The sequence below is a fragment of the Homo sapiens genome, chromosome 7, assembly GCF_000001405.40.
Source record: "Homo sapiens chromosome 7, GRCh38.p14 Primary Assembly".
Classification (NCBI taxonomy): domain Eukaryota; kingdom Metazoa; phylum Chordata; class Mammalia; order Primates; family Hominidae; genus Homo; species Homo sapiens.
Window position 1 is genome coordinate 21,704,800 of NC_000007.14, and position 18,109 is coordinate 21,722,908.

At 39.0% G+C, this 18,109-nt stretch overlaps 1 protein-coding gene across 1 annotated transcript in view; it reads left to right on the plus strand.

Annotated features, from left to right (window-relative positions):
• Window positions 1-18,109, plus strand: part of DNAH11 (dynein axonemal heavy chain 11) — a 358,801-nt gene that overhangs the window by 161,761 nt on the left and 178,931 nt on the right. The window contains exons 39-44 of the mRNA NM_001277115.2: window positions 661-738; window positions 2,900-3,036; window positions 5,754-5,904; window positions 6,913-7,061; window positions 12,976-13,126; window positions 15,926-16,057. Of these exons, the coding sequence (NP_001264044.1) occupies window positions 661-738; window positions 2,900-3,036; window positions 5,754-5,904; window positions 6,913-7,061; window positions 12,976-13,126; window positions 15,926-16,057 (798 nt within the window). The remainder of the gene's footprint in view (window positions 1-660; window positions 739-2,899; window positions 3,037-5,753; window positions 5,905-6,912; window positions 7,062-12,975; window positions 13,127-15,925; window positions 16,058-18,109) is intronic.

The following is an 18,109-nucleotide window of genomic DNA, read 5'->3' on the forward strand; positions in this document are numbered from 1 at the left end:
TAAGTAGCCCCTCTCCGTAAGGTGAAAACATAGATATGATTTTCATGGCTTTAAATGTAAGCATGCTTTTAATTAGGTTACAAAACTTGTTGGTTCTTCGAGACATGCACTAAAAATTTACTTTGTTCTTTCCTCCTTTTTAGAGAACATTGGAAGTAAAATCATTAGTGCCTGCTTTTAATGAGGGAAGAATGACAACATGTATGAGAATAACTTAAGTAGATATTATCTGACATATCAAAGCCTCGTGCATATTTTTCAATTTGAATTCAGTGAATGCATGGATATTGAACACTATATACATTATCCATTTTAGATATTTTATAGGATATAAATCATTAGTTGTAGATAGTGATTGGCTATGTACAGTGTTTGTTCAAAACTCATGAAGAGTTAATGATTTTTGTAAGTAACCCCTGCCATATACTGAGTACTGCGTAAAATCGTGGGTTGGCTTTAGTCTCAGCCCTGTGGTCTACATGGGAGATCCAGGAAAAACTATACTTTTCACTTATGGTCTATTTTAACTTTCTCTGAACATACTGTTGTCAGTGGGGGCTGGCTTGGGTGTAAGGAAAGAAGAATTGGGCAAAAATGGTAGATTATCTTTTTGTCACCAACTCCTTAAAGGAAACCAGCAACCAGCTGTTTGCTCTGCAGGTTGTCCAGCTTGAGGAACTGTTGGCTGTGCGGCACTCGGTCTTTGTAGTTGGAAATGCAGGCACAGGAAAGAGTAAGGTATAGTAAATTGCCTAATAGCTTACAGCTATGGAAAGAACATTTGTTGTCATTGTGGTTCGGCCTATTTTCAATGCTACTCAAAAGAATTCCCCTCCATGAAGCCCACCATAATTTTGGGTCAGAATCTGAGACTGGAATCTTGCTGCTTGATCAATTGACATTCTTTTCCTTTATATTGGGTCAGCGGGGGGAGAACAAGAAACAAATAGAGGATTGCATTCACATAGGAAAAGCAAGCCAACATGAAGATTGAACTTTCCACGTGAGATGTTCAGTATCAGATGCAGGCATTTCGATATACACCATCCTACCTTATGCACCTTTCAATACATTTATGCTTGGATTCTTTTATCAAAGATAAACATATTAAGAGACTGTGGAATAAGATATCTGGCTGGAAGATTGGATTGGCTCTAGCCACATTTATCAAACCTATTTTCTTTTCCAAGTCATCCTTGATTCTCCTCCCCATATCATTCAGAAAAACAAACCGAAATATTTTCCTTCAGTACTCCCTCAGAAATATAACCCTCTATATGGCCAAACAAAACCTAAAAATAAAAGGAAGTGGCAAAACCCACATTTTTGATGTACCTATTATGTGCTGTGCTAGGTGCATTATGTATGATTTACTCGGCACAACAATGATATACTATGGGTATTATTATCCCCATTTTTAGTTCACTGCTTGATTTTGTTTGGTCTTACTGACAGTCCTGGAAACATACTTATTTTCTCGGTTGGCAGACGGTATATGCAGAACTGCATGCATTTTAATTCAGGATGCTTGGGTATAAACATACTTGGTAGCCAGCAGCTAAAAATAATCAGATTGAGCATATGAGATTTTAGAGGATGGCAGTATATGGAACTTGCCAGTATTTAGATCAGAACCCAAAGTGGAACAACTGTAAGAAAAAAAATCTCTGTATAGACATTTTTCTAGTGAAAAATATAATAAATGAAATATTAAAGTAGATAACTGATAGACCTGTAATTATTTTGTTAGAGTAAGTTACAGATGTAGGCCACAGTTCAAGGAAGGATAAAGTTAAATTCTATACTTTCCAGTGGATTAATGGTTTCTAAAAATATAAGCTTAATATTCCTAAGGCATTTACTTTCTTCTAGTCTTCACCAGTTCTGTTCTACTCAACAGGTACGTAACCCGAGATACCCGGAACACTGCAGCTCAGGGTGACGTTCTTTAGCATCTTATCATTTCAAAGTGTTTGCCAATTGTTTATCAGTTTTTCACAACCCTTGTGAGTAGGTCAGCATGATAAATATCTAAGACAAAAGCCACAGCTTTTCAAAGGAGCAAAAGGGAGAGTTAGGGCAGATATTTGAGTTAAAGTATTAATTAATTGAATAGACATACACTGAGCACCTGTTCTGTGAGTTCTCATTATCAAGGCTTTTCCTCAATTACCAGGATCAGGGTTTGTCAACCTCAGCACTGTTGACATTCTGGACTGGATAACTCTGCTGTAGGAGGCTATCCTGCTCATTGAAAGATATTTAGCAACCTCCCTGGTCTCTATCCACTGGATGTCCAGAAGCTCCTTCCCCCTTCTTCCCCCAAGTCAAGACAGTCTTTTCTTGAGAACCACTGCCCTAAGTCTCTAGGTCTCAAAGCATGGCCAGACCAGCATCATTGGCATTAGCTGGGCCCTTGTTGGAACTGTACATTACTGGCCCCACCTCAGACCTACTGAAATAGAAGCTCTGGGATTGGGCTCAGCAATCTGTATTTTAATACCCTCCAAACAGTTCTGTTGTAGGCTACATTTTGAGAAAAACCAATCTTGCTGATTCAGGCAGGGTAGATTTTGTAATCAACATAAATGCTTATTTATGTATGGTCCTCCACTTTGTACACATGATTAAAAATCTCAAGTGAGAAAGTGACTCCCTTTAGTCTAAATGGTTCAAAGAGTCAAGTGAACTGATTCTGTCTTGCTGAGTATTTGTAAGATGAAGCTTTTCAAGATGGTAATGGGAATGCACACATGTGCATTTTTCCCCTTCTCGATCTTAGCACACACACAGCATCTAGGAACATATAATGAATACGGAAAACTCTTCAGAAATCTTTTACTTTCCATTTGGCTTATGTTAGTATTAATTTTTTTGGCTCTTTCCTCCTTCCCCTCAGATTTTGAGAACACTGAACCGAACATATGTTAACATGAAACAGAAGCCGGTTTGGAATGACTTAAACCCTAAAGCTGTGACAACAGATGAACTCTTTGGTTTCATACATCATGCTACCCGAGAATGGAAAGATGGCAAGTAGTATTTCCCCTTTAGAAGTGCTCAATTTTTTTTTTCTATCCAGAAAGCCGTTTTTCAGTACAAGCCAATTTTAGTCATAGTCGCAGACTTACTGTTTATGTGTTGGCATTATTGGAAATATAGCAGATCACAACAGCATTTATAATGTATAAATTAAGACTAGATTTGAATAAATACTTGATTTGCATTCAGCAGATTTGTACTCAGAGCTGTTGTATTTTATCCCACGTCAATTATGTCAGGGCTCCCTGTAAATCAGGAGTGAAGTCAACATGAATGCCTCAGGAAACATCTATAAAGTACCTGATATGAGGCACTGAAGTTCAGGCAGACATTATTCCAGGTGCCAGGGACAAAAGTCAGTAGGGCATGTTGCCTGCCCTGAGAGTATTTGTAAGCAAGCAGATCCCTTTGTGACAATCTGTTAAGATTTCCTGTTACAGTAAATGCGCTAACCTTGGCATCATCCTTGAGGCCTCTCTCCCTCTTATACCCTACATCCAACCTCACAGCGAATCCTATAGGCTTTGCCTTTAAAATGTATGTGAATTCCAGTTCTTCTCGCCTTCTCCATAGATGCCACGTTAGTTGAAGCTGCCATCATGTCTCGCCTGTACTACAGCAGCGTGTAATCTCCTCCTGCTGGTTTCCCTGCAGTTCATTTGACCTAAAGCAGACAGAGGGGCTTCAAATGTTACTTCTTTGCTTTTGATTTCTAGTGGGTTCCAATCACCTTTATAATCCAACCTTTTCCATGGCTTATAACGCTCTATGGGATTGGATCCCTGCCCCCGTCCCCAAATCCCACCATCCCTGACTTCATTTCCCACCACTTACTATAAGCCATTCATTCTGGCCTCTTTGCTATTCCTTGAACTTGCTCCCATCACGGGGCCTCAGCACCTCATGTTCCTGCCGTCGGCAACACTCTTCTGGATGCCCGCATGACTTGCTCCCTTATCTTATTTCAGCATCTGGTGAAATGTCATATCAGAGAAGACTTCCCTGATGGCAGATCTAAAGTAGAAATACAAATCAAAATCACAATGAGATAGAATCTCATACCAGTCAGAAAGACTATTATGAAAAAGTCAAATGATGATGGTGAGGCTGTGGAGAAAAGGGACCGCTTATAGACTTGGTGGGAAATAAGTTTAGTCACTATGGAAATTAGTTTGGAGATTTCTCAAAAAATTTAAAACGGAACTACCGTTTGACCCAGCAATCCCATTACTGGGTATATACCTAAAGGAAAACAAATTGTTCTACCAAAAAGACACATTCACTCATATGTTCACTGCAGCACTATTCACAATAGCAAAGACGTGGAATCAACCTAAGTGCCCATTAATGGTGGATTAAAGAAAACATGGTACATATACACCATGGAATACTATGTAGCCATAAAAAAGGACAACATCATGTTTTTTTCAGCAACATGGATGTAGCTGGAGACCATTATCCTAAGTGAATTAATGCTGAAACAGAAAACCAAATACTGCATATTCTTATTCACAAGTGGGAGCTAAACATTGGGTACATGTGGACATAAAGATGGGAGCCATTGACACTGAGGCCTATTAGAGGTGGGAGGGAAGGAGAGCAGCAGGGGATGAAAAACTACCTGTTGGTTACTATGCTTACTACCTGGACGATGGCACCATTTGTATCCCAAACCTCAATGTCACACAGTATACCCATGCAACAAACCTGCATGTGTATCATCTGAACCTAAAATAAAAGTTGAAATTTTAAAAATAGTAATAATAAAGCAGGACACCCTTCATCATTCTCTATCCTCTCGTCTTGTGTACACTCCTTTTTCTGTGGGACAGTTTTTACTGTCTCAGCCTAGCTTCTGTCTTTTTGTAAAGAACTATGGCAGGGAGAGAATCGTATCTGTTTAGGCTGAAAAACTGTGGAAACTGTTCAAATCAGTGACTATTAGAAAAGTTTGCTGGCTGCTATATGAATTGTGGTGGCAAGTTCCATTAGATACTGTCACTTTTGGCACAAAATACTTCACAGAAGAAACATTCTAGATATATGCATCAAAACAGTTTTGCTCACAATGCTATTAGATTTACTAGAGCTTGAAAAATTTGCAACTGTTAAATATGTCACATCAAATACACAGTGCTTAGATATGTAGTAATGGCAAAAGGGACTGTAGATTTAAAATGTTTTTGCCTATACATCTTGTTAAGGAATGATGAGTTAGTATCCCAGTGAACACATTTCTGTAAGAGATGTATGGTGCTTCTGAATGCTTTAGCTTCAGAATTATGCCCTTGAAAATTGTTGTAGAAAAATGGAGACAGGTGAAATAAACAAATATTTGATCTAAAATGGATACTGAACATATGTGTATGAAGAAGGATCATGTCTTCAGTTGGTGTAAGTTTTGAGTTTTAGGTACGTTACCTTCTATAAATCCCCACAACTGTTCATGAAGGAAGGTTTTTGTTATCTCTGTTTGGCATATGGGAAGCTCAGTCGTGGAAGTTAAGGGTCCTTCTCAGTGAGGTGAAACTTACACGTTGGTAAATAATAGAGGTGAATCTGGAACCCATGTGTGGCTGAAAAGGTGTTACACACTGCCCGCAAGAAAGAGGCAGCAAAATCGTTTTTATTTAGTTAATAAAAGAGCTTCCAAGATGAATAATATCAATCTATCGTAGAAATAAACAGCACTCAACTACATTATATATTAGGATTGTTTACTCTTATTTTATAGGTCTCTTCTCATCCATTCTACGAGAACAAGCAAATCTTAAGCATGATGGACCAAAATGGATAGTCCTGGATGGCGATATTGACCCCATGTGGATTGAATCACTGAATACTGTAATGGATGATAACAAGGTGAATAAAACCTCTGTTCTCAACCTTAAATATAACATCCTGAGTGTATTAAGAGTTCGATTCACTTGTCGATGTTAATACTAGTTTTTGCTCATTAACCTGGGATTCTTTATGTAATTATTATTTTGATAAGTGTTGCTTTCCTGATAATTTTCTTAATTTCACCATTAAAGAATTTCAAGGAATATGTTCTCTTTGTTTCTTTGAATTCAGCCACCTTTACTGAGAGTTAGATACAGATCTAAGAATTTAGTTTACAGATCTTACCACTTTCTAAGAGGTAGCCGTAAATTATTGTATCTTGTCATCTTTGATTAAGTATAAATACTTAGACAATGAAAGAACGGGTTTGTGCCATATGATGATTGAAATTAACTAGTTCCTTTGGCTATGGATTGAGTTAAAATGTTTTCCCAAGCTTTTTTGCCACAGTTAATTCAGCATTCCCAGCAAAAACAAAAGGTGACGGTACAGGTCTGTGAGATATCAGTCAAGCAACACAGGGTCTGTTGTTGGGGTCAGCAGAGAGAAATCAGTAATCATCATTACTCCAGAGAAGATTTAGTAACCACCTTAAATTAACAGTAATTACTGCTTACTCAACTGAGACACTGTTCATCATAAAATACAGGTTTGGGATCTTTATACTTGTGTAAGTTTCTTTGGACAATTGATAATTGTGGTATTTCAGATTCTAAAGAAAAGTTTATGGTATTCAGGTCCTTTCATGTGATTAATTTTTACAATACATGTCTTATATTTGGCTTAGCAATAAAAATTACTACAATTATGTAAAGGTCGACATTCACAAGTCCATTTAGGTGAGTTTGTTCAAGGGTCAGTCAGGTCATCTCAGGGGTGAGCTTAGATCTTTATTCAGACTGCACTTCTGATTCAGGAGAGTGAGCACACAGCCTGTGATACTTCTGGTAGGGGAAAGTACTTGTTGCTTCTGGATGTTTGCGGCATTGCTTTTGCCCATGGGTGACAGTGTGCTGCTCACTCCAGGTGCTGACCCTCGCCAGCAATGAGCGCATTGCACTCACTCCCTTCATGAGGCTTCTGTTTGAGATACATCACTTAAGGAGCGCAACCCCGGCCACTGTTTCCAGAGCTGGTATTCTGTATGTGAACCCACAAGATCTGGGCTGGAATCCGTGAGTATTTCTTTTTGTTTTATTGTAGTAAATTGTATGTAACATAACATTTACCATTTTCATAATTTTTGCTTAAGCACATTCATGTTGTTGCACAGCTGTCACCACCATCCATCTCTGGAAGGATTTTATCTTCCCAAAGTGACACTCTTTATCCATTAAACAATAACACCTCATTCTCCCCTCCTCCCAGCTCTTGGCAACCTTCATTCTACTTTCTATCTCTATGAATTAGACTACTCTAGGTACCGCATATAAATGGAATCATACAGTGTTTGTCTTTTAGTGACAGGTTTATTTCACTTAGCATAATGTCTTCAGAGTTTATCCACGTAGCAGCATATTGTAGTATTTCCTTTTTTAAGGCTGAATAATACTCCATTATGTGTACATACCACATTTCGTTTACCCATTCATCTATAAATGAACACTTGGGTTTCTTCTACCTTTTGGCTATTGTGAACAATGCTGCTGTAAACATGGGTATACAAATATCTCTTCAAGACCCTGCTTTCCATTCTTTCGGGTAGAACTCAGAAGAATTTCTAGATCATATGTTAATTCTAATTTTAATTTTTTGAGAAACTGACACATTGTTTTCCACAGCTGCTACCCATTTATATTCCCACCAACAGTGTACAAGGCTTCTAATCTCTCTACACCTGTGCCGGCACTTGTTATTTTCCCTTTTTCTAACAGTAGCCATGCTAATGGGCATGAGGTGATACCTCATTTTAATTTGCATTTCCCTGATGATCAGTGATGTTGAACATCTTTTCATGTGCTTATTGGCAGTTTGTATGTCTTCTTTGGAAAAATGTTCATGTAAGTTCTTTAAGTTCTTTGCCCAGTTTTTAATCGGTGCTTTTTAAAATTGTGCCTGGATCTTGTTAAAATGTTGGTATAAAATTCTAAATATCTATATGCTCACTTGAAGGTATTAGCAGTTACATTTAAGGCTAACTAATTAGGCTAATTAAAAGTTAATTAACTTAGCACTGGAATGCCTTTGTCATTTTTACTTGGACATTACCTGGTTCACATACCTTGAAGATGTTAAGAACTCAGTAAATATTTGTTGAGTAAGTGAATAAACAATGAAAGCTTATATGGAACACTTACATAAAAAGAAATCACTTAGGTTATGTATGTTTGCATGTATGTATACTATCCATACATGAACAGTTGTAATGCTTTGATTTAGAGCAACTTTATGGTGCCCAGTTGCTTACTCCTCAAATGCTTACATTTTCTACAGTTCATCCTGGTTGTAACTTGTCACCTCCAGCGTTTGCACTTCGAACTGTAGGAGTCACTGAGCTCTGCCAGTGAACCCATGCTTGTGCCTGGCATGCTTCTTACATCAGAAATCTTCTGTTTACCTCTCTGGACACACACTCCATCCTTCTCACCCTCTTCTGTGGTCTGTATGGACCACATTAGTGGGCTCCTTGCCTTCCGGCTTCTGGTTGGTTTGGCCAATGAAGAATCCTGGCAGGAAGTGAGAGGGAGAGAGGACAGTGAGGTCAGGCTGTTTATTCTCCTTCCCAACAGGGTCATGTCAGGATGGCTCTGTCCCTCTGTGACTGCAGGTCACAGCTCTTCTTATATCTCTCCATTAAGGTTCTTTCCTTCCAGGTTCTGGCAGTCCTTCGTTCTCTTGTCCCTCCAGGCATAGATACAATACCCATTCCTTGTGATTACCCTTTTGGCATGGTACTGTCCCTTCCATTTCCTCTACTTCTTGCCCACACTTCTGTGACTAGTCCTTTTATTGATCCTTCCCTTGTTATCCTGATTTAGGGATGACATTGGTTTCCTGCCAGATGTCTAACTGATGTACTTCTCCAGGCTGCCTTTCCTGTGTGTACTGACATGCTCGCTAAAAGTCTCATTCCTTACCTCTACAGTGTAGTAGAGCCATGCACAGGCTTTTGCGTTGACAGAGCCTTTATTGGATATGTTTTGGGGAAGGAGTGATTTTCAAAAGTCTTAAATGGAGTGTTTTTCTTGGGATAATAACTCCTTTCCACACCTAGGATTCTGTCTCCTGGGATGCTTCTATTGGTTGGGAGCTACATGAGGGAGTCTCTCCAGCAGCCCTGACTCCCTCTGTACAGAGAACCCAGGCACCACAGTGCGTGGCAGCATTCATTTCCTTCATGAGACCTCTTACCCCTCCTGGGTGTGCTCTGATTTCAGCAGTGAATCTCACAGCTCCCAAGGCATATGTAATTCAGTCTCAGTCCTATCCTGTGGAGATTTGTGCTAACAAAAGCTTGGTCCAAATCCCTAAAGAAGGACTTCTATGCAGTACATCAAAGGTCACGGGTTGGCTAAAGAGACACCCAATTTATATTCCTAAGAGAGTTAAACAACTCTGTCTTCACCATTAGATTTTACTTTTGGGTTTTTTGTTTGTTTGTTTTATCCAGAATTAATGGGTAGATGTTAATTTTCATATGTGTGACCAAATAATTCATCCAGGTCATTTTCCAAAATAATGGAAATCTTCTCTAGAAGGCGTTTTTGTATTTTCACCTCCCATTGCAATAAACTTTCAATAAGTCACGAAATGGCTATTTTAGAATAAAGGGTATTTTTTCCTCTCCATAGTTATTGGAGACTTTAACATCTTACTTTAATGTCATTATATTAACAAAATGATAGCTTTATACGTATTAATTCATTTAATACTCAGTTACCTTCTGAGATAGACATAATTATTAACCCAATTTTCCAAGCGAATCTCGTAAGTCTCAGTTTTCACCAGTGTTTTCTTCAGAGTCAAAACTTTGAAATAAAGTTCAAAACTATAGAAAAGTTGGAAAGGTAGTACAATGCGCAGCCAGAGACGCTTTTCCTGCAATCACTAACCATTTTACCTCATTTACTTTCTCTCTCTCTCTTTCTCTGGCATAGAGGCACATTTTCTACTTTTATTAATTTTTGCTGAAATATATGAAAGTAAGTTGGAGACATTAAGACACGTCATCCCTAAGTCTGATTACAAAAGACTAGATACTTCTAGATGACTCTTGGAAGCCACAACTTTAGATCATACTCTTTCTTCTATTACTTGAGCTTAAAATATTCTTCTGGCTTTGTGTCACTAGTACTTTCACCTGTATCAAATGACCTTATTGTCTTCTGTCCCTGCAATCCCACTGTCTCATCTTGGGATACTGTATATGCTTACAAACATGCAACTTCAGAAATAATTGGTATACACTGCTAGTCAGCATGTACTGCTAACGTCTGCCATTTTTCCAGGCCACGGTGAATGACAGAGAACTTGAAGCTTGCTCTAAGGGTAGACTTAGAGTCTGTTCAATTCCTTCTATCCTATACAACAGGATCCAACCCCAGAGGCCTGAGTAATAAATAAAAAGTTTTCAGAGGTCTGAGAACTTTGGCTACTCTAGAAAGTTTAGAAACCACGCGGTTATAGACTTCACTTGATAAACCTGGAACAGTTCTGCAGGAAGGAGAAACAACTGAGCTGCTGATAGGAGGACTCATTTGCAAATTCTGGAAAGCCACAATTCTCTGTTAATGACCTGCATATTGCCATTAAGATGATACATTGGGGCATTACAATGTAGCCATTTCCTGAGGTGGGGCACCAATGTGGGTGGTCTTTTCTGTGGGCAAGGAAAGAATATGCCATTTTAGTATGCCATTTTCAATTGTATGTAATATAATAGTAGTCATGTTCCACATCTATCACATCTTTTAAAAATCATAGGGAACTTTTTATATGAAGCAGTGTTGTAAGAATTGCACACAAATGCAGCTCTGTGGCTTCAGTGTTTGCTGAAGGTAACAGTTTCTCCTTCTAAATTTACTGTCTTTTAATGTCTATTCCTAAACTATGTAAGTTTAGCAATAATTTCTACATAAATTTTTAAACTCTCCAGCAACATAGCCATTTTTACTCTCTATCCTATGCTATGTGGTGTGATTGATCCCTAGTAGAGGTAATTTATCTGATTTCCCCCTCCCACCCCCACTTTTTTTCTCTCAAGCAGAATCGGCTCTTACCACATCTCCTGGTTTGGTTGGACTGACTTTTTTCTGGAGCACCTCTCACTTGTGGAAGTAATTTGTGCAAAAGCATCATTTGCTAGTGGGATCGGTAGATTTTCTCTGAGACTTTAGTTGCTGCTGATGTGACTCCATGAAACCGCTATTACCTGCACCCTAAGTGCAAAGCCCACTTCTTCCTTCTGGGCTATTTTTTTGAAGTTACTGCTCCTAGTAATGCTTGCAATGGCTTTCTGCTCCCACAGAAACCTGGAAGAAACTTTGTTGGAAAGTGGGGTGTGGGTTTTGTTATATCCACCAGAATCCAGGATGCCAACTCTTGTGCCCAATAGGACGCTACTGCCTTTAGGAGAAACAGAGGGAGACGGAGCCGCGATCTAAACCTGAGTTTCCGAATGCCACCAACTCTGTACTAATGAGTAACGTTTATTGAGAATTTATTTGTCAGATGCTAATGTAAGCACTTTATACATGCAAACTTACATAATCCTCACAACCACCCCAGGAGGTTCATATTATTACCCTCTCCATTTACAGAGGAGAAAATTGAGGCACAGAGAGGTTAAGTAACTTGCCCAAGGTAACACATTTAAAAAATGGTGGAACCAAGTAGCATATCCAGGCAGTTTCACTTTAGACTTTCCTTTCCCTGAGCAATCCTCTTTCACCTCTTCTTGATAAGATCTAGATACAAAGATTCCACTTTCCACTCTGGCAGCTGATATGGGGTAAAATCAGTAGTTGAGATGGTGGCCTTCATTCCTTTGTCCCCAGGCACTGACACCTGCTTTCCATTGTTCCGCGGTTCCCACTGTCGCTACCACACAGGGACATTCTATCAGGCTACTCTTATGCAATTGGACTTCTGCTGAAAACCATTTCTCTTGGACCTGAAAAAGTTTTGACAGTTGACATTTTATAAATTTCATCAGAGTGTAACATAACCGGCTATTTAATAAACTCTATTGTGAAGCCTTGAGAAAAGTGAAAGGAGCCGTTTGTCAGATAATCATCTTGCCTTAATGTCTCCTGATGCTCAAAATGCAAGGTGTAGCTGAAATTGACCTGTGGTCATACTCCTTCTCTGCTGGCTGCTAAATGTATTTATTCCCCATGCTTCATCCTTAGTGAGAACTTTCTGAGGGATTATTTTTAGTTTAACATCATACATTTTTGCCCTGTAGACTACTATAGGTGCTACTAAGTCATGCTTTGTTTTACTGATAAGTATTATTTTACTAATACATTAAGGATATTTAATGTATCAAATTGATAACATTTTATGTTTCAGATTACACACACACACACACACACCCCAGCACCCAAGCATGAAACGCCATATCAGAGCCACCTATTGGAAACTCGTTAGCAGCTATCAGATTGGAGTTACATTCAGTCCATTGAAAAAGGAGACACTTTGAAATAGCCCCTACGGAATTTTCATCTTTTTATTCGTAACTGATTTCTTATTACTAAATAATTGATGCCAAGATTAATCAAGAAAAATCACAAGCTGTTTTCATAAATAAGGCCTACACTATGGGAATAGTTTCAGCCCTTCAGGAAATGACATAGTGCACTTCCTCATAAATGCTCGGTAATGGTCTACTTATATTCCATTATGTTTGGCTTCTGAGTGCTATTAGGAGTTTCTTTTACAGTCTTTTCATTAAGGTAAAATGGCCATTAAAACAAGTTTTTAAAGGGCCATTTTAAAATATTTGCAGTTTGAAAAATAGAACGAACTCACTAAACGTGTCCTTGAAGTGTTGCACCAAGCTGTGTCAAAGGAGGAAGCTTTTGACTTGGTGAAATTCTGCTTTTCAAGCCTAGTGTTCAATAAAAGCTTTTCTGTGTTCCTTTTCAGGTATGTGGCCAGTTGGATAGACAGAAGGCGGCATCAATCAGAAAAGGCCAATTTGACTATTCTTTTTGATAAATATGTCCCTGCATGCTTGGATAAACTGAGAACAAGCTTTAAAACCATCACTTCAATTCCTGAGAGTAGCCTGGTGCAGGTTTGTCTTCGGTTACGCCATTTAACGTTCTAGTTCTGATGCGGTAGTGTTTGTTGATCAAGACAACAGAAGATCTTGCCTTGCCCAAGAAAGTGAGAAGATTTCTGGAATTGTTAGATTGCTGCAACCCTCTTGCCCCCGCCCCCGTCCCCCATGTTCCCTGGATCTTTTTGCAAACCTCTATCACATTCTGTTAGTGTTTAAGTTTGTGCTCTCCTTCTTTTCACAATCTTGTGAAAGAAGGTTAGAACCATGTTTTACTGATTTTTTTTTAGTATCCCCAGATAGCTCTTAGCACATAGTAGGTGCCAGATATGTGTTTGTTGAATCACTGTGTTCCTTTCCAGTGTCTTTGCACAGAATTAGAAGAACAAAGTTGCAATAGCTTTATTTATTTTTCTGGTTCCTAAGTAACTTGCCCAGAGAAGGTGCTCAGTATGTTTTCTAATAAAACAAATTTGTGCAATTAAAGATGCCAGCCAGTGAGTAAGAGAAAGCCTCTGAATTCTACCACCTAGGTGCCACCACTCACAGGCCTCCCCCTCCCAAAAATATTCATGGAGGAGTGTCAGTCTGGATGAAGAGTTCATAATATCCCAGGGATATATTTTTTCTCATCTTCATCTTGAGACAGCTGGTAAGAGTGAGGGTTACACATAATATGTTGTCATGGAAGCCAATGAAAATAATTCACAACACACAGAAATGAAGGCTGTGATCTTCATCTCAGCATGAAGAAAAACTATCCCCAGCCCTTAGAAGTAGAAGACTTCATGAAAAGGTTTACAATTAGAAACCCCCACACCCTTTTTTTGCTATAAGAGCAAAATTGCTTTCTAAGTACTTTGTTACCATTAAGTGAGTGTGTTACCAAATTTGTTTGACGCAAAATTAGAAATAGTCACAAGCATAATAAGAAGAGAAAGTTCAGGTTTTTGGATAATTCGCACACCAATTAAATAAACGATAGTCTTCAACAGTAATTATCTGAGGTATAATTTATTTCCGAAAGCAGGTCTGAATTTGTTCATTATGAATTAATTATGTAGTTAGCCTAATTAGACTCCCTCTGGTGTAATACTTGCAAAAAAGCATTATCGTGTTCTTTCTCAAGTTCACTTGTGTATTTGTGTGATTCTCTGTGGTGTGAACTTTTCCATTCAAGAGTAGTGTGAAAATAGGTCAGTAGGAATTAATATGATTTCTGCTCTACTTCTTTCTTTTGTTGTATTCAGAAAGGGCATTTAATTTTTAGCTCCTTTTAAGCTGTTGTTTTATAGAGTAATTTCTCTTCTGTGGTTACTAATAAGTATGGAAATTTGAGACAAAAATGGGTATAAGAAGATAGTGACCTGAAATGGCTATCTTGAGAAATTAATGCACTCTGTTTTCCGATATATGACGCCTCTTTAAGTTTGGTAAGGTTTATTAACTCTTTCAGATTACTCATTAAAGTACGTTAAATGCTGACACAGAACTCAAAATATATTTCAAGTACTGTGGGAGAAAATAGAAGAAACACATGGCCGTATTCGTGTGTTCATCTCAGCAGATAGCGTCACGTTGAGACCCTTCAGTCTTTTTTGTTTTGATTTCAACAGTGCCTTAGAACAACATGGCTTCTACTAAAAAATAACAAAGCCTCAGAGTTTTACACTGTTTTTCTTAATAGCAAATTGGTGAGTTTTTTTCTATTAAAAGATTATTTCAAATTGGCAAATGTGGCACAACATGAAATAATAGAAGCCAAGAAAGAAGATTAAAGAATATAATAGGTGCTCAATAATTTAAATGAAAAGTATTTCCCCATCTTCTGTGGCAAGGAAGGAAAGGCACACACACAGTGCTGACCTGATCTGTGATCGCTTGCGTTGCTGTGTGTATAATAGAGATGAAAATCTATCGTTGCCTGCAAAAACTGGGGGAAGAGTCTCTTGAGTTTTTAGGATCTGTAACAGTGCTAATTAATGACGACTTTCTGTGCTTTAGAGAGCTAGCCCCAGAACCTGTTCATTACTGGTTATTATTTCACATGGTGAAGGCCTCTGCAGCAGCCGCATTCCCCTCATTGCTGGCGCAACTGCCCTAAGCATGGGCTAGGTACATGAGGACCGCCCAGCACGTTGCCATTTCACCTGGAGAGTATGAAGAACACGTTCCTGAGTTCCTGAACAGCATTTCTTTCAAGGTTAAATTTAGTTCGGTGTCCAAAAAACTGCCACAGGCTTAAGCTGCCAGTCCAACATTCTAAATTTATGACAACGGGTGGGAAACTGGCTGCCAAAGCGCTTACCGAAAGTGGTTTATCTGAATGTCCAACAAGAAGGAAATAGTAAAATAAATGCCTCTTCATCCAATGGAATCCTCTGCATCCATTCCAGTGGTGGTGTAGAGTAACACTTATTGATAAGGAAAGATGTCTTCAGTTTTTAATCAAGGAAGTGGATTATAGAATACTATTTAGAAAATGATTTCCTATTTATAAAAAAGTGAATATGTACCCTTTTTTTTTTTTGCTTATGTGTGATTTTGGTTTGTATACTGATTATTAACTGGATTGTTTAAAATTTTGTTTTTAAAAAATAGTTTATTACCTAGATCATTTTGGTTGAAAGTGACAAGTTTTCTACTGTTAACTTAGACACCCAAGGTGGTAATTTTTGTCTCTCCCAATGTAGCAAATCACAGCTGGGAAAAACTATGTACTCTCTTAAGGATAAAGTGGAGTTGTAAAAATATTCTTTGAACTTCACTATTTTAAAAAAATGTTGCCTTATTTGACTATTTCTTTTTCTTTAGACTCTATGTGTTCTTTTGGAGTGCTTGCTGACTCCTGAAAATGTACCTTCTGACAGCCCAAAAGAAGTTTATGAAGTCTATTTTGTATTTGCTTGTATCTGGGCTTTTGGAGGCACCCTGCTACAAGATCAGGTATGTTTAGAAATAGTTTACAGGACCAGTTTCCAGTTTTGTGTGGGACAGGGTCATGGGGAGGTTAAAACATGTGATCTGTACCTTTTTGTTATGTTATAGATCTATACTGCTTGCCCTGTTCTCTCCTAAGTCTATGCATTCTCTGGGTAGTCCCATCCCTGATGGTTCTAACCCCAGCTGACAATGCCAAATCCATACCCTCCAGCCTGGCTGTGTCTTCTGAACTGAAAGTTCTGTGTTTCTGGCTGCTCTGGGGCCTCGCCTTCAGCATGCTGTTCTACAAGAAGCCCCACTCAGTGTGCCTGAGACAGATCTCCTCCTCTGCCCCATACTCCAACTTGCCCCTGCTCTTCCTTCTTTTCTTTTGCTCAGTGGTACATTCTTCCCGGTAGCTCCAGTTAAAAACGTGGAAGACATCACTCTTCCTGATTTCTGTGTCCTGTGATCTCAGACCCTTTCAGTTTCACCTGTGAAATAGCTGCCAACCCTATTCCCTCTTCTCCATCCCTGCAGCCTAAATTCAGGAGCAAAGCATCTTTAGATTGCTCTGGTTATCATAGCGTCTTAGTAGCTCAGATCGCCATAACAAAATACCACAAATTGGGTGACTTAAGCAATAGAAATTTATTTCTCACAGTTCTGGGGACCAAAAGTCCAAGATTATGGTGTCAGCATGGTTGAGTTCCAGCAAGGACTCTCTTCCCACCTTTCAGACCGCCACTTTCCCGCTGTGTCCCCATGTGACAGAGAGAGAAAGACATACTGGTTTCTCTTTTAATGAGGACACTAATCCCATCATGAGGACCCTGTATTCATGACATCATCTAAATCTAATTATGTCCCAAGGCCCCACCACCAAATATCATCACACTGTGGGGTAGGGCTTCAAAATATGGATTTGGGGGTGGGATGTGGGAGGGGGGATCACAATTCGGTTTGTAGCATTTGATAATCTTCAAATTGGTCTCCCTCTCTCCAGTCCCTCTTACTTCTAACCAGTCTCACACACTATTCCCAGGATAGTCATTTGTGAACCATAGTCAACCCTGGGTCAATTCCTTTTTCACTGATCTTTTTTTTAGCTGAAAGTGAAATATTCATGCCTGTACAGATTGCTTGCATAGCCCTTTTGTGTCTTCTGATTTCCTGTGGGAAAACACTTGAGACAAACATTTGCACCAGCACACAGATCCCACGAACTGCTTAGACTTACCAAAGTGCAAAGTGGGAATTATTCAACTTTAGAAATTTGCAGATCTAATTGCCACCATGCACCTCTATGTGTAATTTTTCTCATGTGATCTTTACAATGGTTCTTCAAGGTATCCTCATTGCACAAATAAAGTAAAGCTCAGAGGGGCAAAGTAACTTGCCCAAAGTCACGCTGATGGGAAATGGCAACATCAGGATTCCCACCCAAGTGTGTCTTTCTCCAAAAGCCACACCTTCCATGGTACCTCAGGGCCTCTCATGGTTCATAGTGCTTCTATGGGTACCCCTGAATTTTTACATTAAAAATAGATAGCACACATTTTCCAGGCTTCCTTGCTCTTTCCAGGTGTAAATGGGGCATTTACATTGAAAGGCATCGCAGCCAAGAGTGACCTATATTTCTGTTGGTTTGTTCACTGTAGATCAGAAAATAAATGGTTGATATAATCTGTTGGCCAGTTCCACTTCTCGCCACTAGGTTACCATAACTCATGCCTATTATTATAATAATATAGTTGGAATTCACTTGGCCTCCTAGATCTTATTTCAGCCATTCTCAGAAGCCAGATTCCTTCTGTAATTTCCAAGTGCTTTCTAAAGATTAGCAGCCAATACTGTGTGAGAGTCAAGTGTTCGTGTCAGGGACTTCATGTGGCTTTCTCAGAGGCACGGTTTACAACATGTGTGGGTTTCTTGTTAATGGAGGCCACATGCAGACAGAAGGCAACCCTCCTTCTCCACCAGGTATTTCTTTCAATATTTACCCTTTTCTCCCTTTCTGGGACTGTAAAATCAGGTGGGATGTTGATAGCGGACATCTTCCCCCTCCTGCTCATA